Source organism: Homo sapiens, chromosome 6 (assembly GCF_000001405.40).
Source record: "Homo sapiens chromosome 6, GRCh38.p14 Primary Assembly".
NCBI classification, from domain to species: Eukaryota; Metazoa; Chordata; class Mammalia; order Primates; family Hominidae; genus Homo; species Homo sapiens.
In genome coordinates this window covers 5,360,807-5,384,761 of record NC_000006.12, presented here as the reverse complement: position 1 = coordinate 5,384,761, position 23,955 = coordinate 5,360,807, and the positions used below count along the sequence as shown (strand labels likewise).

At 38.5% G+C, this 23,955-nt stretch overlaps 1 protein-coding gene across 23 annotated transcripts in view, besides 4 other annotated features; it reads right to left on the bottom strand.

The window, feature by feature from the left end:
• The window catches only part of FARS2 (phenylalanyl-tRNA synthetase 2, mitochondrial), a 521,650-nt gene that overhangs the window by 386,822 nt on the left and 110,873 nt on the right, over nucleotides 1-23,955 (bottom strand). For 21 of the 23 annotated variants that reach the window (XR_007059197.1, XR_007059196.1, XR_926027.4 and 18 more), the window contains one exon: nucleotides 15,580-16,212. The exons of the other annotated variants lie outside the window; for them this stretch is intronic. Coding sequence is in view for 16 of the 21 variants with exons in the window: in XM_047418086.1 (XP_047274042.1) it covers nucleotides 15,580-16,191 (612 nt within the window). In the remaining 5 variants the exon portion in view is untranslated. The remainder of the gene's footprint in view (nucleotides 1-15,579; nucleotides 16,213-23,955) is intronic. 23 annotated transcript variants of the gene reach the window in all.
• Nucleotides 5,082-5,181: an enhancer, noted in NCBI's record as "active region_23906". NCBI's record gives its function as "activates an Ori minimal core promoter by ATAC-STARR-seq in GM12878 lymphoblastoid cells {active_cell/tissue: GM12878}" and the evidence as "EXISTENCE:reporter gene assay evidence [ECO:0000049][PMID:35858748]".
• Nucleotides 15,051-16,250: an enhancer, noted in NCBI's record as "CDK7 strongly-dependent group 2 enhancer chr6:5368745-5369944 (GRCh37/hg19 assembly coordinates)". NCBI's record gives its function as "activates an origin of replication core promoter dependent on BRD2, BRD4, P300/CBP, MED14 and CDK7 cofactors, with strong dependence on CDK7, by STARR-seq in HCT116 cells {active_cell/tissue: HCT116}" and the evidence as "EXISTENCE:reporter gene assay evidence [ECO:0000049][PMID:35650434]".
• Nucleotides 15,051-16,586: a biological region, named in NCBI's record as "CDK7 strongly-dependent group 2 enhancer GRCh37_chr6:5368745-5369944".
• Nucleotides 16,063-16,586: an enhancer, noted in NCBI's record as "H3K4me1 hESC enhancer chr6:5368409-5368932 (GRCh37/hg19 assembly coordinates)". NCBI's record gives its function as "activates a minimal SCP1, AML or CMV promoter by ChIP-STARR-seq in naive H9 embryonic stem cells {active_cell/tissue: H9 hESC(naive)}" and the evidence as "EXISTENCE:reporter gene assay evidence [ECO:0000049][PMID:30033119]".

Genomic DNA, 23,955 nt, shown 5'->3' with positions numbered 1-23,955 from the left:
TGCTATACTAGATTAGAAGCTCAAGCTTCAAACAGACAGGTTCCTCCTATTTCAGTCTGAGCTTTCTCAGGGAAACCCTATGTCAGACCTTTATTTTCCAACTCAAACAAGTCCTCGCTGGCCAACATGGCCTGTCCATATCTCCCCCTACTTAAGCCTCCATGACAGAAAACTCAAGTTGAACACATCACAGAGGCTACTCAGTTCCTTGCTTAGTGACCAAAACATGTGCTCTCCAGAGGCCAGGGACAATAGAAATCCTAAGGGCAGCAGATTCCATCCCATGGGATTCCACACAGCCATGTGGCCGGCAGAAGGCGAGGCTGCCCTCCGCAGTGCTCTCAGTGGGGTGGCATCGGCAGCTGCCTGAACTCGGCCTCCCCAAAAATACTGCCAAATGCTGCTGGGTATTTTGGAAATCTGGCCATTTGCTTTGCCTGCTTTTATTAATCCTGACATATCGCAATGACTATACTTTCCAGCACTTTTCTTCTCTCAGGGGCTCTCCTAGGAGAAAAGGAAGTAGATTAATATTACTGCCAAGCTCTGGCCTCTACAGAGAATCAGAAATTTCAATCCGTCAAAGCAAGGAAGCTGCACACAAATTACATGGAAATTAAATATCTCCATGTGTCAAGGCAAAAAGCACAATGACAACAACAAAAAACACCCCATTCTGGTGTGAACTGGTTCTCATGACAACCACCATGTAAAGTAGGAGAAAACTTCACCCATTCTGCTGTCAACTTTAAAATTATGATCTCTCAACATCTTCTTCCTGGGCCATGATGACAGATCAAACAGAGAGAAAGAGATTGCATTTTCTTCTCCAGGTGGCTAAACAGCTCATTCATGATGCCAGTGGGCAAAATATAACAGGACAAAGGCCCCATCTAAATTCCATCACCTGTTCTATAGGAAGGTGACAGAAGACACATTACTAATCAGTCAACCACGGGAAAGAACAGAAAAGACAGCAAAGGCTTTAAAAAAAAAAAAAAGTAGATCAGAACTAAAAAGGACAACCCACAAGATACATAATTGACATTGACAATGCTCAGATGGATCAACACTTAACACAAAAGGAGGAGACAACTATTTGTAAGATACACAGAAGGGGATGGGCAGGGCAGCGACCATTAGCTGAACACCTCCTAATGTCAGGAGCGTGGCAGGCTCATTCACCACCACTCAAGAGTTGTCCTCATTTTAGTTATGGACGCTGAAGTTCAGAGTGTTAACGTTAAAGAACTTATCTAAGGTCACCAGAGGCTGAGTTGCACAGCCAGGATTTGCCTCTCGTTTCGCTAGCTCAAAAGCTGGTGTTATTCTGGAGAATAACAAGCACTGCTATAAAAACAAACATTTTCAAGATATAATGTCCAGGCCATGGAGGGGCTCCAAAGGCCAGCGGCCAAAAGTTCCAGTCCTTTATTCAGTCCTAAAGGGTAAAAAAGGCATAATTCCTTATTCTTATACTTTTATGTACAAATAGAGGCTATTTATTGGTCATTGACTAAGTGGTACACTAGGAGTTATTAATAAAAATGTGGCATCGATAGAACATATAAATTAGAACTGACTGAGGACTCTCAGTGTTTCACCATGAAGATCCCCAAGAATGGTATGATGGTTAATTTTATGTGCCAACTTGACGGGGTCACAGGGTGCCCAGATATTTCATTAAACATCATTACTGGATGTGTCTGTGAGGGTGTTTCTGGACTAGATTAATACTTGAACAGGCAAAGCGAGTAAAGCATGTGGCCATCCCCAGTGTGGTGGGCCTCAGCCAATCCATCAAGCACCTGAATAGAATAAAATGCTGAGGAAGAAAGAATTCTCTCTACTTCACTGTCCCTGTACTGGGACATCAGTCTTCTCCTGTCTTCAGACTTGGACTCCATTGGCTCTTCTGCTTCTCCAACCTTCAGATTGTGACAAACTATAATGTTTGTCCTCCTGAGCCATCTTTTTATTATATATCTGTGCTATATCCTATTGGTTCGGTTGCTCTGGAGAACCCTGACTAATATAAACAGACAATAACAAAGAAGCTTCTACTCCCTGCAGCACTCTTCAAAAGGTGGAATCTCCACGATTCCAAGAAGTAAACTATCAGTGGATCTTCAGTGGTAGCCTGAGTTGGTTGTAGACTTCACATACTATTAGGCCTTTTAATAATAAATCACTGTTACTCTAGCTACATCATTATGGATGACTTTACTGTGTGTAAATTGACATGATAGAATCAATATCTAACAACTAGATTTTAAGATTATATTTGAGACACTAAAGTTTAAATAAAAATCATTTGTACTACTATTACCAAAGGAGAGGGATACATATTCTACATAGTCCTACCACCAAATTCCCAAATGACACCTCATTGCTATCACTGAGTTCCTTTTGCATTAAAGAGATGAAAGAGTTGGGATAACTGAACTGAAGGGTCTTTTACCTTATCTGGAAATCCACAGCATAAAAATATTAAGAAGCATCACCCTGGAGAAGGTTAACCCAAGTTCCCTTGAAACTCATTCTCTCACTCAAAATCTTTATGGTGAGAAATCGTTCCTTGTCATTTGTCAAACGTAAATCTTTCTCTGCTTGATTTAAGCATAGCTCATAAACCTTAAAGAATACACACACGCTATCTAAAGTCCAACACATAACAAGATTCCAAGGGCCAGTGTTTACCAGATGGATGGCAAGATCTGCTCCCCGCAGGACCCATGCTGCCCACTGTCCCAGAGTCTGCTCTTTGGCTATCTGTCCGCCTCACCAGCTTTCTAAACAGAAACCAGCTCTTTGTATTTCCTGGTCCAGAAATGACCACAACTTAGGAATGCTCCCAGCCCTCGGAGAGAGACTTTCCACTTTTCCCTTGGTTTCCCCCAACACATCCAACCCAGCCTCCTGTTCCTACACTGCCTCTGACTCTGAACTCCTGACTTGGTTCTCAATCTCCAATCATTCTAATAACTGACATCTGGTCATACCCAAGTTAGGCAGCATTCTCTGCCTTCCTATAGCTAACTTAACCCTAACTTCCGTTGCTACTTACATAATCGACCACCAAACATAACCCCAGCATGGCAATGTGACCCAAAAGAAGTGTCACAGAAAAGTGGCAGATGTGGAAAGAGAGAGGATTGCTGAAAGAATCCAGAACAGATTTTCCAATTTACTACAGACTGAGATTGGGAATTACCTATTAAAAGCAAAAACTATCTCCTTGACCCTGACTTCAAATTTCATAATCTAATCCAGTAGCCCATAAAACCCTTTAACTAATAAGCCTATAAAACCCTTTAAACTATATAAAAAATTCTGCATCTGTGTGTGTGTGTGTATGTGTGTGTGTGTGTGTGTGTGTGTGTGTGTGTGTTTCTGGGGAGTATGCAAATTTCTCATCAGACTCTCAAATAGGAAAAGAAAAGAAAATTAGAAATCATTGCTATAGGCCGGGCGCGGTGGCTCACGCCTGTAATCCCAGCACTTAGGGAGGCCGAGGCGGGCGGATAACGAGGTCAGGAGATTGAGACCATCCTGGCTAACAGGATTTTTAGTCTCTACTAAAAATACAAAAAATTAGCCGGGTGTGGTGGCGGGAACCTATAGGTCCAGCTACTCAGGAGGCTGAGGCAGGAGAATGGCGTGAACCCAGGAGGTGGAGCTTGCAGTGAGCCAAGATCGCGCCACTGCACTCCAGCCTGGGCGACAGAGCGAGACTCTGTCTCATAATAAATAAATAAATAAATAAATAAATAAATAAATAAATAAATAATTGCTATAATGAACTACTATTGATCTTATATAAGATTATATAAAGTTTCTATAAAAACTAAAATATACAGCTAAAGACTAACATTGTATTTAGATGATGTATCTAGTTTAAGAAAACTATCTTACCTTTCAAATTCATTTAAACTAACAAAAGTTTACAATTTTGCAGAGACCTATCCCAGGATGAGTCAGGGAGATGACACAGAAAGCAGATTTTAGGACGAAGCCTCGGAGCGAAGACAATGAAAGTACCCAGTACAGGGTGCATTCTTGGTCAAATAGCAAGAGTGTAGTCTTTTACATTTGTGAGTAGACTGGGGTATCTGGACATATAATTCAACACTATGCGAGTGGCACCGGCTGCTAGCCATTTTTGAGGCTGGCTGGTAAAGAAAACTCCCTTTCACCTACAGCCCACCTGCACCTACCAAGCTCGAAATGTGAAATTAGACCACTCCATCCCTACAAGTAGCATTCGATGATACACACCAGGCAGAGAAATGCAGTTCCTAGCAAGGCGTGAAGTTTACTGTTAAAGAGCATAATTTCTCTGTGAAAATATTTTTGCTATTTTCACACATCACTTCAGCTAGTAGAAAAAAACACCGTCTCTAACTGTAATTATTTGGATTTGGTAAACCTAATGAGGCCCTCTTAGCCTTCAACAACAAATGTAGAATGTAAATGGCAATAATTTTCCTGAGATCTTAGAGAAATGAGATGTAAAGAATATTAATCTGTTTTTCTTTGGATGCTATTATTGGTTCAGGAGCACAAGCTTTTACCCTTGAGAACATCCTCTATTCTCTGTGTATTCCATCTACTAAGATCGAATAACTAGAGAGCTTTCCCATTACCTAATTGTTTTCAGAAATATTAAATTTGAATTAAGAACAAATATTTTGCCTCCATAAATATGACTTTCCCTAGCAACTCATGTAATTGCATAAATGATAGCCTATCTCCCTAAAGGCTTCTAGACATTCAGGAAAGGGAGCAAGCTGACTCTGTCACTTATCACCTACACAAAACAATCAATCCTTCATTGCCTGCTCTGTGAAAACTGAGTTGAGTCCTTGAAATATTTTCCTTTGCCAGCTGGCAAAATGCTAAACTTTGTCAGTAGAGGTCGCTGGAGGGACATGGCAAAGGAAGGTATTCTTACTGGGCACCCTGCACTTCTTTTGCCCAGATCTGCAGTGCAGGTGGCAACACAGCTCCTCCAATGGCCAGCTGCTCTCCTCGGTACCCCATTTGATCATTTTCATAGCATAGTGCTTCCCACAAGACAAGTCTCCCAAATTAACTTTCCCCACACCCAAGAAAGCAGATTTCGGTACATTCCAGAGCGTGGATATCAAGCAATTTCACCAGCATGGCACCACTACTAGCACTTCTGAGCCACTCAGTGAACCACAGCTGCGGGAAGGAGGAAGGGGCTCTTCTCTGGGTCCCCGTCTTAGTCCTAAGGGTAGCAGCTCCTCCTTATAGATAATACTTCTGGACTCTTTCATTACCTCTTACTGGCCAATCCCTGATTACCCAAGTTCTGTGTTGGAGTTTGTAATTCTTTACATTATGCTTTCCTTGATCAAGTTACTGTGCGGTTTCCATATCAGAATTGGACCCTAACAGACACATGTGCTCTTATAGCTGAGAATACCCAACTAGACAAGCAGATAGGTGAGCTGCCATGCAGTTAACAGTGCTAGCTGTCATTTTTTTCAGTGAAAGTTGACAGCCCAGAAAGAGGGAGACATTGCTGTTCTGTGCAGAATCCTGGGTTAGAAAGATCAGGCACAAAAAGAGATAGAGTGGCACCCTTAAGGAGTTGACTAACCAGCTGGAGACACCAGGCACACACAAACTAACATTTCAAGGCAGTGAGTTGCTGAAAGCCCAGTAAGGGTCATGGGCAAAACTGCTACAAGGCAGTGATGAGTCTCAGACTAAGAGCCTAATAGTTTCCATCTTGTCGTAGCCAAAGACTAATTATCTGCAAAAGCCCTGTGCCACAGAAAAAGGGGTCTCTCTCCAAACGGTCCTCCAAATCATGCTTTGCCCTCCAATAATGGGGTATTTCCCAAATCCATGGACTCCTCACTATGACCAGTTGCCTCTCACTTAACTGTCAAGACAGAGGACTACGTAAACATGTGAACAGAGAAAAATAATTTTAAAAAGGAAAAGCTGTTTGAATTTAAGTGTGTCTTTGACAGGGACAATGCTTCCTAAAATATTTTAAAGAAGAGATTAGGGAAACATGGGGACTATAATCTGTCAAAGCCGAATAAAAATGCCTTCAACAAAGCCCCTCCACATGAGGCTATTAAGGAAACCCAATAACCACACGGTGGAGAATAAAACCCTGTCACTCACTGAAAGACAGAAAAGTGATTCAGAGCAGAAAGCAGGAATAAAGAGACAACCATGGGCTCACTACAAGAGTAACAGCGGGGAAGCTTGGAAAGAGAAGCCCAAGAACAGGAGGGTTCCAGTGAACCATCTGGAAAGTGGGAGAGAATATCAAAGGCAGCAAAAGTGAGATTTTCTAATGATAAATGACAGCGGTTTTTTCTGACAAGGATGAACCACAAAGGATGCCAAAGGGGTGTTCAAAAAGAAGCGCCTCACTCCAGCGGGAAGGAATCGTGAGGGCAGGAGCAGCCTCCGTGGAAGGAGCCCCTCACCCACAGTGGTTGAGGACAGTGGTTTGAGGACAGTGGTTCTCAAACGTGTAAGTCTCAACATCCTTCTACGCTCCTAAAATCCCTCCATGAGGAAATGGCGAATGAGCATGATTATGTTTAAAGGGGTGGGTGGTATATGAACTGAACACACACCTCTTGATGAAGGGCCATTCCAGTAATGGGTTGTGGTCAAAATTATACAAAAAGCTTACTTCTCTGTACACCTTCACTCATCCTCTTTTCCGAAAAGATTTCCCTTTATTTCTGTGTGAATATTTGTAAATTATATATTAATTATGTAATATTTATAACTTCTCCACAATTATGCCTTCATTTGTTAAGGTGTAAGGTTATATATTTCATAGATTGGTAAAAATTTCAAAACATTATAGGGACTAAGATAAGGTAGGCAATGCTTTATTTTGCCAAGTACAGGCATATGCTTAAAATACTATCACCATCACTTCATAAGAGAAATTGCATTTTAACACTCAGGAAAGTGGCAAGGAAATCATCCTAGAACAGAGGAGAGCTCTTTAAAATAAATAAATATACCTTTATAAAAATTGGTATATTGCTCTTATATTTTTTATTTTCCTGTAAAATCAACAAAAACTCGGTCATGGACCAAGACTGGTTAATACACTCAAGTTTGAGAACTACTAGCAAGAAGGACAAGAAACAGATATGCACATTCTTGTATAAAATTTAAGAAAACAAGAGGCATTTAGAATTTTAAATAATAATAATAATAATGGAGACAGAATCTGGAAGAAAAGAAGGCTCATTATGAATCGTCTTAAATTCAGGAGGAAGTATTGCCTGCACATGTGTGTACACGACAGAAAAATCCTGGAAGAAACAGACCCAGAGGATGTTATCAAAGGGGAATGAAGACAAAATAAGGAGGCAAACAGTCTGCAGCCAAGACTGGAGAACAACCTGCGGAATGCCTGTCTCTCACGCAACTCCTCTGTCCATCCTCAGGGCCCACACACAAGTGTGCATCTGGTGAAACACGACAAGGTGCCACCAGGGAGAGTGGGAAAACAGAACTTGTCTGAGCACTGGTCCACACATGCATGTTTCAACTGACATTTTTAATCAGATTAAATAGACACAGGATTTGTAAGAGTTTCCTCTGGTGGGCCTGCCAAATACTTGAAATTCACCATTCTTTGCAAACTAAATGTCTCAAATGTTTTCTAAAAATTTCGTTTGGAAGCTATAGAACAGTGGTTCTCAAACATGTAAGTCTCAAAATCCTTCTATGCTCCTAAAAAGTATAAAATATTGCATTGTTTGCAAAGAATGATATGATGCCTGATCTCATTCACCCTCCTTCCACATCATAAATAATCACGACCTTGATTTTTGTGTTTATTATTTCCATATATTTTTTCACATCTACTTTTATGTTTATCTAGCTGGATTAAAGAAAAATTGTGTTTGTGTGCATAAAAAGAGAAATAGACAAAGACAGATGAGAAAGAATATAAGCAAGTCCATAAGAACACACATTGTCGGGCATGTTTTTGTTATTGGGTGCATTCTGAATATCCATTTAAAAAGATATGATAGTTTAGTACCACTCGCGGTGTACTTGTTTCCCTCAAGATTGCATTAAAACCCATCCATGTTGATACAAGTACCTCTAGATCGTTTATGTTAATTGCTATAAAGTATTCAATATAAAAACAGAGCCCATTTTATCTATCCTTGCTCCTCTTGATGGGTTTTTGAGACTTTTTAACACTTAAAGAAAAAAATGCCAAATCACATAGCATACAATTTTTGTTTTCATTGGAAACTACCAAATTACCCTCCAAAGTGGCAGTAACTATATACACTCCCAATAGAAGGCTATAAGATGGACAGTTCCTCTAGGCCTTTGGTATTGTGAGGATTATCAAATTTTGCTAATCTGCTGAGTTTGGAATCATATTTGGTTGTTTTAATTTGCATTTTCTTGTTTATTGATAAAGCTGGTCCTTGTTTATCAGCCAGTCATGTGCCTTCTTCTTACACAATAAATCATACACATAAAAGTATATGAGTATGACATGTTTAAAGAATAGTAAAAGCACACACGTGTGCTCACCACCTATATGCATTTTCAGAAAGGAGAACAGTGTCGAAAGATTGACAGAAGATTGGTAGTGATCATGTAAAAGAAAGTCTCAGGATGAAAAAAAGAATCCAGTAGGAATATGTCTGACAACACAGCAAATATCTCCACCCAGCACGTAGAAATGTCTCATAACTTTGATTATGGAGACTTTTATTAGGCAGATGTTTTAACACAATGTAGCCAACTTTAGCACTTTTTTCCCTTATGGATTTTTCTTGTTCAAGAATTCTCATGTTTATGATATTATATTCTATCAGAGTAAAAATGACAATCTCCTATATTTTCTTCCAAAAGTTTTAAAGATTTCTTTTTCACAAATGACTTATTAATCCATCCATTTGATGGATTTAGAGTGAGGTAGAGATCCACTGTTTTCCTATAGAGATAACTGTCTCAGAACAATTAATGTAGAATCCATCACCTCCCACTTATGTGATATGAAATATCACTTATATTTCATAAGTTCTCAAATATGAAGTAGAGCTGTTGCAATGTTCTCTACCCAATTAACCTTGTGCCATTACTAAACTATCTTTACAACTACACAAGTATAAGTCTTAATACCTGGGGCTCTTTCTATAAATTTTAAGATTAGTCCCTCAATTTTTCCAAAATATCCAGTGAAAATTTTGGTTGGATTTGCGCTGGATTTGTAGATTAATTTTGGATGAATTGTCATCTTCATGATATTGTTTTCCTATCTATGAATCTACAAATATGGTAAATCTCTCCTTATGTTCTTCTATGTCTTTTAATAATATTTAATAATTTTATCCATAAATATCTCAAATATCTGATGCAAGATTTATACCTAGGTACTGAAATATTTTAGTTGATACTACAAATAAAATGTGTTATTATATTTGGTAATTGGTTCTTACTTATGGATAAAAACATTAATTTTTCTATATTGTCCCTGAATCCAACAACTTTGTTGAATTGTCTTGTAAGTTCTAATAGTTGATCTGTATATTCTTTTTCTAGGTAAAGCATCAAATCCTCTACAAATAAAGCAGTTTTATCTATGTTTTCCAATGCTTATGCCTTCTATTTCTCTTTCTGGCTTACTGCATAAGCTAGAATTTACCACATAATGATGAACAGTGATAGGAAGGAATCCTGAATTGTGGCTAATTTGGATAGAAATATTTAGAATGATGCACCATTAATTATGTTTGCTGTAAGAGCTTCATGGATTTCATTTGTAAAGTCAAGGAAGTTTCCCTCTATTTCTAATTTGCTAAAAGTTTTTATCATGAGTCATTAATGTCATCAAATGCTTTTTTAATGTCATGAGACATTAAATGCAATCATTTTTCTATATCTATTGAGATGATCACATGCTTTTTCTCCTTATATCAGTTAATACAGTACAATGTAATGTATATGCAATAATAATGTGGTAGGACACAATAAATCAATGAATTGAATTTTCAAATATTTCATTTAATAATTCTATATCTGTTCATTAAAAAGGAATAATCTATGTTCATAATGATGAAACTTCAAAAGTTTTCTTTCTTATCTAGTTGGGATATTAACATGTCTAACCTCATAAAATGAGCTTGGTAGGACTCTCTTTTCTATGTTCTGAAACAGATTGTACAAGTAATTCATGATTTGGTAAAAACTTGTGTAAAATCATCTGAGGCTGATGGAGGAAAGGCTATTAATTTTAGAGTTAATTGCTTTCAGTTTTCTATTACATGTAATGAATGCTTTTATCTTTAATTTATCCTGCACTCTTTTTTTATATTAATAGTTGTCTTCCCCATGAAAGCAGGGACCATCTCATGACTGTCTGATATCTTCTTACAGTCTTGAATCCCAGTACATATTCAGCCAATGTTTTTGACTGACTGACGGATCCCAGTGTTTTCCTTCAGTCTTTTCCCTTAGCCTTTTATTTGGAAATTTTCAAACGTATGCACGAATAGAAAGGATGATGATTTCTCTGCATCCAACACCCAGTTTCAATAATTAACAATTATTAATCCTCTTACATCCATCTCCAAATGCCTAATCCACCTTCCCACATTGTTTTGAAGAACATCACAGACATCAGATCGTTTTGCCCTTAGGTATTTCAATATGTATCTCTAAAACAAAATGACTTCATAAAAATACAATACCATTTATCACATCTAAAAAATAAAAACAAAAAAGAACTGAATTTCAAATATTCAGTTAGTCAGTGCTCAAATTTCCAGTGGTCTCAAATGTCATGGTTTTTTTTTCTTTAAAAATAGGATCTACACATTGTGACTGATAGATCTTTCTTTTAATCTACGGGTATCGTTTTCATCCCCTTTTATTTTTCTTGCAATCATTTGAAGAAATTGGGTCCTTTATCCCATAGAGCAGCGCTTCTCAAGCCATAGCAAAGGAATAGTTTTAGATTTCCCAAGGATCACAAACTGATACATGGGCCTACTGCTACTGCATAGACTGGGCACACTCAACACACCAAGAGTATTTAAGGACACTTGAACCCATCCACACACACTGTTCAACAAAAGAAGTCCACTAATAACGTGCTTGAATACAATGGCATAAACATTTCTAAACCCTTAGCATTGGTTAAACATTTCCTAGTACTTACTCTTGAGTCCTCTATTTATTTCATTCTGCAGATCACACCTCCAGTAGACCTGCTACACAATTTCCCACAGCCTGAATATGTCCTACACATATGGTAGTTGGGTCTAGAGAATTAATCAGACTCAAGTCCAACATTTTGGGGGAGACTCTATAGTTGGTATTGTATCCTTCCTTCAGGAGACACGTTAACTGTGGTTGTCCCTTTATATTAATGTCTAATCCACCTTCCCACATTATGTTGAAGATTTAGTGTGAGGTAGAGATCCACTGTTTTCCTAGACAGATGACGTCAGTAGTCACTGATGAACAGTGATACTGGTACTTTGAGCCAAAGTCTCTCCCGTAAATTTGATTGTGGAAGTTTGTTCTCTGAGAGACCCCTAAGGAAGCTCTCCTTTTCTCTCAAGTACTGCTGTGTCCCTATACTACCTGTTTCTGATACAGTGCAGAACTTCTAGCTGTTCATTGTGACTTCCCATGCATTTGTGAGGATTTAGGGAGAACTTGTCACCTAATTGTGTTGTAGATGTTGTCTGCGGTATTTGGTTTTGCTATTCTAGTTGCTCTCTCAATTTGGTAAGATTTGGGGATATTCAAAGACTATACACCCACCTCCCTTCCACTTTTTTTGTAATAAAGTCATTTTTAGCATCATAAATTGAACACTTAATTTGATGATTTCCATTTTCAATTTTTAAAATAAACATATCTAAAGCGAAAGATATGACAAATACCCTTTTAGCTAACATCATCAGTTTTGTTTTTCTAATGTTAACAGTGATCCTACGGCTTAGGTGGGGAATACCAAGTTTCTCCATAATGAAGTGACTATGGTTCCCCACATTTGAGCAGTTCAAAGTATTTTCATTGCTGGTCAGTGATAAGTAATTTGTAATTTATTGCTAATATTTCTCTTTAACCCATGAAGCTATACTTGTATATTTTTAAATTTCTGAGAATATGGAACATTTTTATTATACTTTCTTATTGCTTTCTACATAAACTACACTGAAGTCAGGCAGGCAAAGTTCTATTTATGTTGTTGATTCTTTGACATTTGTTTAGACTTTGACTGTCAATTAGTAATGCATAAGTAATTTTTAGAAATCCATATGACTATACACTTCTGACATTTGCATATAAAACTCCATGTATGTGCATGGTTCTGCATGTGTGTTTATACACATATACATATATAATTGTGTATGTGTGTATATATATGTTTATGGCTACCAAATTTTAAAAATAAATATAAATCAAACTTGTCAACCACCTTTTCAGACTGTCTGTATCTTTACACATTTTAACTTCGTAACCCATTGGTTTCTGACCAAGGTCACTTAAAATCTTCTAACATGGTTATAAATTTGTCAAACTTAACTTTTAATTCTTCAGTTTTGCTTTATGTACTAAGCCTATGATGTTGAATACATAAAAATTCTTAATTCATAAAGTTTCCTGATTGAGGAACTACCCCTCTTTGTTACTGCTTGTCACTTTTTTCATAAATTCTATTTTACATAATATTAATATTGCTGTACCAACTTTCTTTTGATAATTATTTGCTTGATATCTCTTTTTCCTGCCCCTTATTTTCACCCTTTGGTGTGGTTTTGTTTCAGGTTTCTCTAACTGAAAAATATCCAATCTGATAATGTGTGTCTTTAGTAAGTTTAACCCATTTAAATTCATGAATACTGATGTATTTGGACTTATATCTACATCCTTAATTTGGGGTTTCTATTTACCATATTTTTTTCATTCCTTTTTCCTGTCTGTTAAATTGAGATCATGCTCTACATTCCTCCTTTTCTACTCCAACTGTTTGCAATGTATACATTGTACTGCAATCTAATTTTTTTCCAACAAAGTCTGAAGTTACTCAGTAATTTTATCCTATCCCCAAATATGACAAGAGCCTTAGCAGACTTTCAATATCTATTGATTACTCCCCCCAATTTATTACTGTTCACTAGAGTTTTCATTTTACTATTTTTCAAAATACAAAAGATTTTTTTCCACAATTAATAGCTAAGTGTATAGATTACTGTGACTCATCCATTTCTATACTTATCATTGTTTTTTTACCCTGCACCTCTGTATTTACTTTTCTTCTTGCTGAAATACACGTTATAGTGATGAAAGTAATAATTACAAAGATTAAACAACAAAAATACCTTAAAAGATAATAATAAAATGTTTAAAATTGTCTCTGTAACATTATTACAACTCTAAAAATCCTATTCATAGGGGAATAAACTGAAAGACGAAAAAACATTTTGTTTAGAGTTAAGATTAGGTCAGAGTTAGTACCAACACTTTAGTTGAGGTTAGGAATTCAGAAAACACCACAATCTTCTGACTCCACTCTCCATAGCATTCTTGGAACCAAAACTCCCCTTTGGGTCATAAGCAGGTCCCACGTAGAAAGGAGTGTCATGAAAAAAAGCAGAATACAGAAAAACAGGCAATGAATTCAGAAGAGCTGAGTTCCAGTTCTAGGCATGTTACTAACTGCTTCAGCAACTTTGGGTAAGTCACTAAACCTTTCGGGACCTCATTCCTCATGGCTGAAGTCAAAATGATCTACCTTGCGAGGTTTTTATTAAGAGGAGTAAACGAAGCAATGAACACAGATGCACCTTATATAAGAAGATTAGATACATACATACACATGAGCATAATTTTTTAACTATACGCAGAATATATAGTAGCATCATCAGTTTAGATTAGTAATTTGTACTAACTACCAAATTGGACTGGACCCAAAACAAATATGAAACAAGGTGAAGGCTAATTTCCTATCCACTTCCTATTTCCCATCTTCTGTGGCAGCCTTGATTTTCCCTCCATTAAAATGCTAGAAGTGCCTGGCAGCCTTCATTGCCTCTTTCATGGCATGCAGGCTTACAAATCAGAGCACACAGTCCTTTCTTATTTCTTTAATGAGGTAAGCTGGGCTGAGCACCTGTCTGCTACTGTGACCTGGACGTCATATTACTGGCATCACAGCTCCTCTTGTACATTAATTTTAAATGACATTCTATCACTTGGTCATATTTCCCAGATTTTGACCTGTCTTTATTCATCTCATATTAGTTCCCTAATAAATCTATATCCTTATTAATCATTATTTTTCCTAACTTGGAAAATAGTCAGCTATTCCAAGTAGTGAGAATGCTCATTTGAGATCCCCCGAGATCCAGCACGGATGGCCTTTTTGTGTAAGGCTAAGCTATTACTGTATTATCACAGAGTCGCAAAAGAACAGCACATCCAGAGGTAAACAGAAAGAAAAAGGAGAGAAGGGGAGGGCAGTCCTGTTCAGTTATCTCCTGCTATAGGACTTATAGAATACAACAGAACAATGGTTACCTATTGGCCTAAGGATGCTATACTATTTGTTTTCATATTAATAACTCATTTAGCTTACGTTGGCAGGAGAGAGTTTTGTGACGATAATAATTCCTCCTGTTCCAGTGAACATGTCTGGAAGGGACATTGCTAAGGAAGTAAAATGAAATACACCCTGTGCTTAGTTTAACGCATTTGTTTCTTATATAAAAACAGAGATGGTTTTTAAAACATGAGTGAGGGACAAGTGGTATGGCAAGTTTTTAGGAAATGGAATCAAGCTTTTAGGGATTTCAGAATTTGCAAAAAAAAAAACAACAAAAAAAGATGCACACAACGTATTAGGATAACATCTAACAGATGCACACAACATATTAGGATAACATCTAACAGACGCAAGGAGTTGGGAAAAGGCTCCATGCATCATCCTAACACATGCTTCAAGAATAGCAGCAATTAAGACATCCCACAGCAATTAAGACATCTCACAGCAACATGCAAAGCCAGGGAGGGTGAGGAAAGTGCCTGGGGACAAGACACAGTTTACAGCCCAAGCCAATAAATCATCAGGCCCCTAAGGTACCTAAGAAATTCATTTCTCTCTAACAGCAAGAAAATATAATTTACTTCTCCTAACAGAATTAAGAATGACCTGACCACAGGTTTCCATGTTGCACCTTCAGCCATCCTGGATTAAAGGTGAATTTGAGCCACAGACTATTCTCCATTCATAAGAAGTAACCCAGAGAATGGCGGGTCAGTATTGAGAGAAAGGATAAGGACAGACAACTGGAAACTAAGGCTTACCAATTTCTGTAGTTACTAACACAACAAAGCGGTCAAAAAGTACTGGGGCACACCTATACACAAGATGTCATTAAGTATGGATGATTCACTAAGGCAAAATAAGGCAAGCAAGGATGACTATGCTGGTCTCATCGAGCTAAATGTTAGTGACCTCAACATAAAATGTCTATGACATCCTTCAGCGATGAGAAACATCTCAAGACTCACCTCATGCTTGGAGAAGAGCCGCACGGCCTCCAGCTGGTGGAAAATAGGGTAGTGCTGGGAGTCGATCTGGTCACGCCTGTAGACATCACCCACCACCAGGAAGGCATCCAGTCCCGCGTGCAGCAAGTCCCACTGGTGTGCAGACGTGTGCGCTCTCAGCATGTGAGTCCGATTCAGGTAATAGTTGTCCCCCTTCTTCCTGCTGGGGTGATCAGCTGGGATGAGCAGGCTGTCAAAGTTCTGCCAGGTCGTGACCACTGGAGAAAGGTTGTCGTAGACCGAGAACAACGGGGTCCCAAAGCGGCCCACATACTGCTTGTAGAAGTGCTCCTTCACCCTCTCCTTGATCAGCCACAGAGGGTGATGCTGCTGGTTGTGCAGGTTCCTGCCAACTCTGGTGAGGACCTTCCGGGTGAGGTTGCTGTGGTCGTCCTGAGGGTAGGATTTGCCCAGCAGCTCCACCACACTGCCTGGAGCTCTTTGGGTGGCACACTCTGCTGCAGGAGGCCTCGATCCCCAGGCCTGGTGCTGATGGCCTCTGGAGATGTGACTGGCCTTACTCACCAGGTAGACATATGCATGGGCACCTCTCCTGAGAGCTGAGCCCACCATTGTAGAAACTTCTCACAGGTTCTGGAAAGAGCACACAGGCAAAGCACAAGTCAGGTGTCACTCTGTGGAAAGCAAGTGTGTTCTTTGCATCTCCCACCAGCTCCCTCTTGTCCTACTGGCATGTTTCCCCCACTACGACCTCCACACAGCTGAAAGAGCCAATTAAAGAAATCTGACAGACATGTGATACTTAATACACTAAATGAAAAGATTCCTGGAAGTCACTTTTATATCCCTAATCTCTAGTTGTCCTTCCTTTGTCATTCAGATCCTTGGCTTTGTAGAAAACCTCGTTTATTATGTTATCATGTCCTGAACTCGTGATGTGGAAAAAAACTGTAAACACGACAACCTTTACATTATAGAACCAAAAAACTTCAGAGAGATCCCCTAAAATACAGAACTTAATTGGACCCTATTAAGGGTCCCACTAATAAAGGAAGCAAATGATTAGACAGAGGCTTCCGAAGGAGAGTGGAAGAGAAGAGATTTAAGAGCCATCCTTCACATTTCTGCCGACCATCCTCATAACTACAGAGTTCTCTTTATCTTTGACATAGCATAACTTCTGTATTACTTCACTAGATCACAAAGTGACATTACTAATTTTTTTAAAAAGTTTTAAACAAAATACACCACTTTAGATTGTGGTTAACTTTAATATTTTAAAGATAAAATAGAAAATCTCAGGAAATATTGTACAAAGTGATAGACTATATCAATGGACAGCTGTAAATGCAAATCTTCTCACATCTGGTCATGTCACTTAAACTTAATACCTTTGTGGCATCCTCTCAATTACACCTTTGGCAAAAGGGCAAATTTCTACTACACACCCACAATTAACCAGAAACAGGACTAAACTTGTTGGGGAAGAGTGACAGAGCAGCCAGAAGGCAGAGCACTGACCTAGATTTTTAAGTAAATAAAATGCCAAACTTTACAGCTGAAAGTCACCTCAGCTGTCATCTAGTATAGGCGGTTCAAGTCACGGATGAGGTGAGAAGGACCTAAGTATAACTGGCAAAACTCTAAGGTATTGAAAGAGTTCAATAAGACAACCGCAAAGGGCTGTGAACCACTCACACAGTGTCTTCTTCCCACTGCCACAGAAGCCAGTTTTAAACTCACTCAGGGATCCCAATAAGGAGAGTCTTGAGATGTCACATCCCATTGTTCACAAATAATTTACATTCACAAACTTAAATTATAAAAATCCATCTTCTAAAATGTGGAATTCTTCCCTACCGGGCTATTTTAAAGCATACAACTATGTGGCTGTTTTACTTCAAGGGCCGTGCAATCATACCAAGAAAATATGTAACTTCATGATATGAAGCTGCATTAGCAAAGAATTATATTGTTCCAAGTCACTATCAAAAGCACAGTCTGTCCCTGGACAACACAATCCACCTGACTCCAAATTGGAACTGAGGAAATCTAGCTGCAAGTTGAATGGCTGTGCTTGTGTGTGATTGCTTCTTAGAAGCTGTGCACAGCACCTTTGTCTGAGACTGTCATCATGGGAGACATTTTCAAAGATACCCAGGAACTCTCTGGTTTTATTCACTTATGGCGTTATTTTGTCAGAGTTGTTTCAAAAGGGCTTTTGGCTGAGCTTCAACTGAAATGTCTTCCCATCTAGTGTTCAGTGACTTGTCACTGCAGTGGATATGAATTTTAAACATGCATATGCAGCCTTACACATCTTGGCACAAAATCAAACTGTTAGGTTATTAGCTACCTAGCTCAGCACCCTTGCCAAAACACAAGAAAAGCTTTCTTCCTCCCAAAGGCATATGTGTTAGACAAAGTTCAGAATTGTTCTCGGAAAGGTGCTTCTGATCCAGTTATTTGTGGGCTGCTGTCGATGCTTTTCCTTCCCAGTTTCCAGCTCTTCACACATCCAAACCCACACTTGGGTTCCATTCCCAGGGATGTGCCCCAGCCTCGTGTCCCTTCCTTGCTCTCCTCACGCAACCCCCAGCTTGCCGATGAAAGTTTGAGGTTCTTGCCCTGGTTTTCAGGCCTTCTATCTATCTGCTCAGCCCTGCTTACATTCTCCACTGTCATTCACCCCACACAGAAAAGTATCTGTCCTTTCTGTTACTATCTCTAACAGAGAGAGATGGATGACTAGGAGAGCCTTCCCACTTCTATCTGAGAAGTGACTTCCTTTCCTTCTACCTCTATCGAATTTCTCTATAAGAAATATATCATCTGGAAATACATAAGAGACCCAGGAGGATAAGACCAACGACATTCATACTTCTATTAATACATTGTTCTTCCATTTCATCCCTTCAACAGTTCTGTGATGTAAGTATTGTTCGTACCACTTTACCAACAAAGAATATAAAGCTCAAAAAGATCACGTAACTAGCATAAATTCATATGCCTAGCTAGCCATGAGACAGTTCAGAATTCTTGGCAATTCAAATATAGCTGACCCTCAAACAACATGGATTGAACTGTGCAGATCCACTTACATGCAGATTCTTTTCAGTAACAGTTACACTGAGTGTGCCTGCCCTTCCTGCCTCCCCTTCCGCCTCCCCTATCTCTTCTACCTCTGCCACCCCTGAGAAGGCAAGACCAACCCCTCCTCTTCCTCTTCAGCCTACTCAACATGAAGATAAGAATAAAGATCTTTAGGATGATCTACTTCCACTTAATAAATAGTAAATACATTTTCTTTCCTCATGATTTTCTTAATAACATTTTCTTTTCTCTAGTTTATTGTAATACAGTATATAATGCCTATAACATACAAAATATGTGTTAATCAATTGTTTATGTTATCAGTAAAGCCTCCAGTTAACAATTAATAGTTAAGTTAGGGGAAGTCAAAAGGTATACAGGAATTTTCAACTGACTGAGGGAGGGTAATCAGTTGTCCAGGGGTCAAGTGCATTTCTCAGTAGGGTGTGGTGGCTCACGCCTATGATCCTAACACTCTGGAAGGCCAAGGCGAAAGGATCACTTGGGCCCAGGAGTTTGAGAGCAGCCTGGGCAACATGACAAGACCCTATCTCTACAAAAAAAAAAAAAAAAAAAAAATTTTATTTAATAAATTAGCCGGGTATGGTGGCACACACCTGCAGTCCCAGCTACTGGGGAGCTAAGGCAGGAGGACTGCATGAACCCAGGAGTTCAGGCTTCAGTAAGCCAGGATTGCACCACTGCACTCCAGCTTGGGTGACAGAGTGAGACTCTGCCTCACTAAAAAAAAAAAAAAAAAAAAAAAAAAAAAGAAAGTATACTTCTCAATCAAAGGTCCAAGATTGTTAAGTTCAAATGGTATCTCTGCAAGGACCTCCCTTAACTTCTATTTTATCTAATTGAGATTATACATCAATGTGTTTTTAAATACATAAATAAATGCATGAATAAGTAAATCCAATAAAACACATTAGCTTAGATAGTAAAAATGAAATAAGTATTTACAGACCCAAGGGCCAAATCTGCCCACAGTAGTCTGTTTGGGGTTTTTTTTTTTGGCTTTGGCTTTTTTTTGTTTCTGAGACAGGGTCTTACTCTGTCACCCAGGCTGGAGTGCAGTGGGATGATCATGGCTTACTGGAGCATCAACCTCCCAGACTCAAGTGATCCTCCTGTCTCAGGCTCCAGTGGCTCCCTGCCCCAGAGATAGCTAGGACTACAGGTGCAAGCCACTATGCCCGGCTAGCTTTTGTATTTTTTGTAGAGATGAGGTTTCGCCACATTGCCCAGGCTGGTCTCAAACTCCTGCCTCAAGTGAGCTGCCCACCTCAGCCTCCCAAAGTGCTGGGATTACAGGCTTAAGCCATCGTGCCTTGCCCATAGTCTGTTTTTACAAATAAAGTTTGTTGGAACACAGCAACAGCCATTTCTTGATTTATCATTTGCCATGGCTTTCTTGCTATCAAGGTAAGATTGAATAGCTGCTATAGAGATTGTGTTGCTCACAAAGCCTAAATACTCACTCTCTGGTCTGTTATAGAGTTTGCTGAGCCCTGTTTTAGCTTAACCTACTGAAAAATTTTTCTACACTATTAATAAAATCTTCCTAGTCACAAATATATGTAGATTATAAAGTCACAAAAAAGGAGCAAGAATACAAATGTGGACGTGAAGTATGTTAGCACTGGTACAAAAGAAACAATCAGACCAACTATAAGAAGAGAAAATACAATATAATGGGCAATAGGCCAGACTTCGCAGAGATACTAATGTTGGTTTGATCCTAGGTTGATCTCTTAGGTGCCATGTATCATCCTTAGAAACGTTATTTGACCCTTCTGGCCTCAAGGTTCTCATCTGTAAAACAGAGAAATATAATACTTATCTCATAATGAAAAGATTATACTAGATCATGTTCATCAGCTAATTAACTCATTGCCCAGTGTGTAACGGGTAAGATGAGCTGAATTCAGGGTTAAAAGTGACCCAGAGATTTCTAGAGATCGGGTAACGGATGAACTAATAAAGTCATTCACTGACACAGAGAACTCAGAATGGATTTTTGTTGTTTGTTCAGATCATCTTTTGTAGAGGGAAACAGATTTGGACAATGGAAGTTCAGTATGAATGAGATAGCCACATTACAATTTCTGTAAGGCAATTCGAGTTATATTATAGTTTGGAAATGAGGTAAGACATTAATCCTGGAAATGTAGACCTTGGAGGTAATTTGCATAGACGTAAGAGTTAATATCACAAGCGTATATAAGAATCCATGGGAGGCTAAGAGCAAGATATAAGTGGGCAAAAGATAGAAGAATACTTGGAACTTATCATATTTAAGGGAAGGGGATGTAAGGAGTAAGACAGAGGGGACGTAAAGGGTGCCACAGCACAGAAGTCAGGGGAAAAGACATCTAGAAGGAAACGGGCCTGTTTCCTGGACCCAAATACCACTCAATGTGCAATGTTTAGCATGCCGTATTATTACTACCTGCTGTTGTCTGTATTCCTACTAGCCTGTGTGGTTCTTGAGAGTAGAACACACAAACACATATATATACACATACTCTTTCTCTCCTCTCTCTCTTATATTTATCATCGTATGCCCATAATCTAGCACTACATGTGATGCTGGGTGGAAGACGCGGGAAGAAGAGAAATAGGAAGAAAAAGAAAAGAATGGAAGGAAATTGGTCAGCAAAAACAAAACAAAGAAGGCTGCCTCTTTGGAAGGGGCAGTAAAGAACTATTTAAAAACTCAATAGAGTGAAGAGACAACTCACAGAATGGGAAAAAGTATTTACAAGCCATGTATCTGGGAAAAAGCTAATGTCCAAAATACATAAGGAACTCACGCAACTCAACAGCAAGAAAGCAAATAACTTAAAAATGGGCAAAGGGGCTGGGCGAGGTGGCTCATGCCTGTAATCCCAGCACTTTGGGAGGCCGAGGTGGGTGGAGCATGAGGGCAGGAGAACGAGACCATCCTGGCTAACACGGTGAAACCCCATCTCTACTAAAAATATAAAAAATTAGCCAAGCATGGTGGCGGGCACCTGTAGTCCCAGCTACTTGGGAGGCTGAGGCAGGAGAATGGTGTGAACCCAGGAGGCAGAGCTTGCAGTGGGCCGAGATCGCGCCACTGCACTCCAGCCTGGGCGACAGAGTGAGACTCCATGTCAAAAAAAAAAAAAAAAAGAAAGAAAGAAAAATGGGCAAAGGATCTGAATAAAGATTTCTGAAAAGAAGACATATAAATGGTCAATAGGTATGTGAAAAAAAATCCTCAAAATCACTAGTCATCAGAGAAATGCAAATCAAAAGCACAATGAGATAGATACACTTTACACCTGTTAGAACCGCTATTACCAAAAAGAAAAGGTAAGTGTTGGTGAGGATGTGGAGAAAAAGGAACCACTGTACACTGTTGGTGGGAATTTAGAGGAGTATAACCATTATGGGAAATAGTATGGAGGTTCAAAAAAATTTAAAAATAGAACTATTAACATATGATCCAGCAATCCCACTTCTGTGTATATAACACAGGAAATGAAATCAGCATGTCAAAGAGACATCTGCACCCCCTTGTTCACTGCAGCATTATTCACAATGGCCAAGATATGGGATCCACCTAAATGTCCATCAACAGATGAGTGTATAAAGAAAATGTGATGTATGTATACAATAGAATATTATTCAGCCTTTAGACAGAAGTAAATCCTGTGATTTGTGACAAGGATGAACTAGGAGAACTCTCGCTCTCTCTCTGAATCTTACTTTCCCTATATTTCTCAACGTGAAAATAACATATACCTTGCATTGGTAATAAGAGTATTAAACAACAATGAAGGTAAAAAACAGCACAGTATCTTGAAGGAATATAACAGGTACTCAATAAATGGCAGCAATTATCATTATTATTATTATTTCTATCATTACTATTGGAATACAGCTGCCTGGAATGTCCAAACAGTGGGCATGGTGGTCAAGTCCACTTCTCTACAAGACTGCTCTAAGAAGTAACATTTCGAAAGGTATCTGAAGCATCTGTTACATGGTCATGGATCACATTTGGATTATTTTGCTTGTTTTTCATTTTGGACACATTCAGAATGCTGTAAGCATTCTTTGGCACAATGACAACAACTAGTAAAATACTGAATAAATGTTTGTTGTTAGAATGAATGAGTTTTATAATCATTTCAACAGTCCTTTCAACCTCCCTCATTCTTCTGTGTAAAGAAAACATTAAGTAGTACACAAACTGTACTGGACTGATCATTTCCCTAAAGCATAATTAGCTTCAGGGAAATAGCCAATGGTGAGCAGGCATAACCCATATATGGTCACCACTAGACAAAAGTGTTCAAGCACAATCCATAACCACCAGATGCAATACTCACACAATTTCTATCAAGAAAAAATGAAGCTTGGTTCAGTCAACACAGTTATACATTTTATTCTACTAAACAATGGTGGGAAAATGGCCAACTTCCATTAACTTCTACTGATACAAAGCCAAGTCAAGAGAATGCTTTTGCTCCTGCTGACTAGTATGAACAAAAAGAGAAGGGCTATAAGCAGGCAGTTTCCTGCATTACTCGTGAGGGTGTCATTGGCGCAACCTTTCTAGAAAGCAATTCAGCACTATCAAGAGACTTAAAACTGTTCATACCCTTTGACAGGGTAATTACCCTTCTGGGAATCTATCACAAGGAAATAATGTAAATGAAGACAGAAGTTAAACACAAAGAAGTTTCATTACAGTATTATTTATAACAGAAAAAAAATTATACACCACATAAATGTCCCACAACAAGGGAATGATTAAGCAAATTATGGGAGACCATACAATAAAATATTATGCAGTCATTAAATATAATGGTTGCAACGAGTTTGAATGATACAACTACATAAAGTGATAAACAGGATATAAAATTGTATGTACGATATGATCTTAACTCTATAAATATACACCTACCTATAAACACATGCATATCATATTTAGAAACCATGAGAAGAACTAGCCAAAAGATTTCATAGCAATTTATCCCTGGTGCTTATTTTCTATTTTATGTATTTATATTTCCAAATATTCTAAATAGACATTCATTATATTTTAAATTAAACTTTAAAACCATTGTCCTATCTCGCCAAGTTTCAACTGTGCTTAGTTTCTGTGGCTTCTTTGGTTCAGGTAATATAAGCATTCTCTAGCCTGATCTTCTCTGTTTCACTAAAAATGTCTTGAATACTGACATCAATTTTTCTAAATTCAGAACATTCTCCTTCTACTAACATAACATCATAAATTTTAAA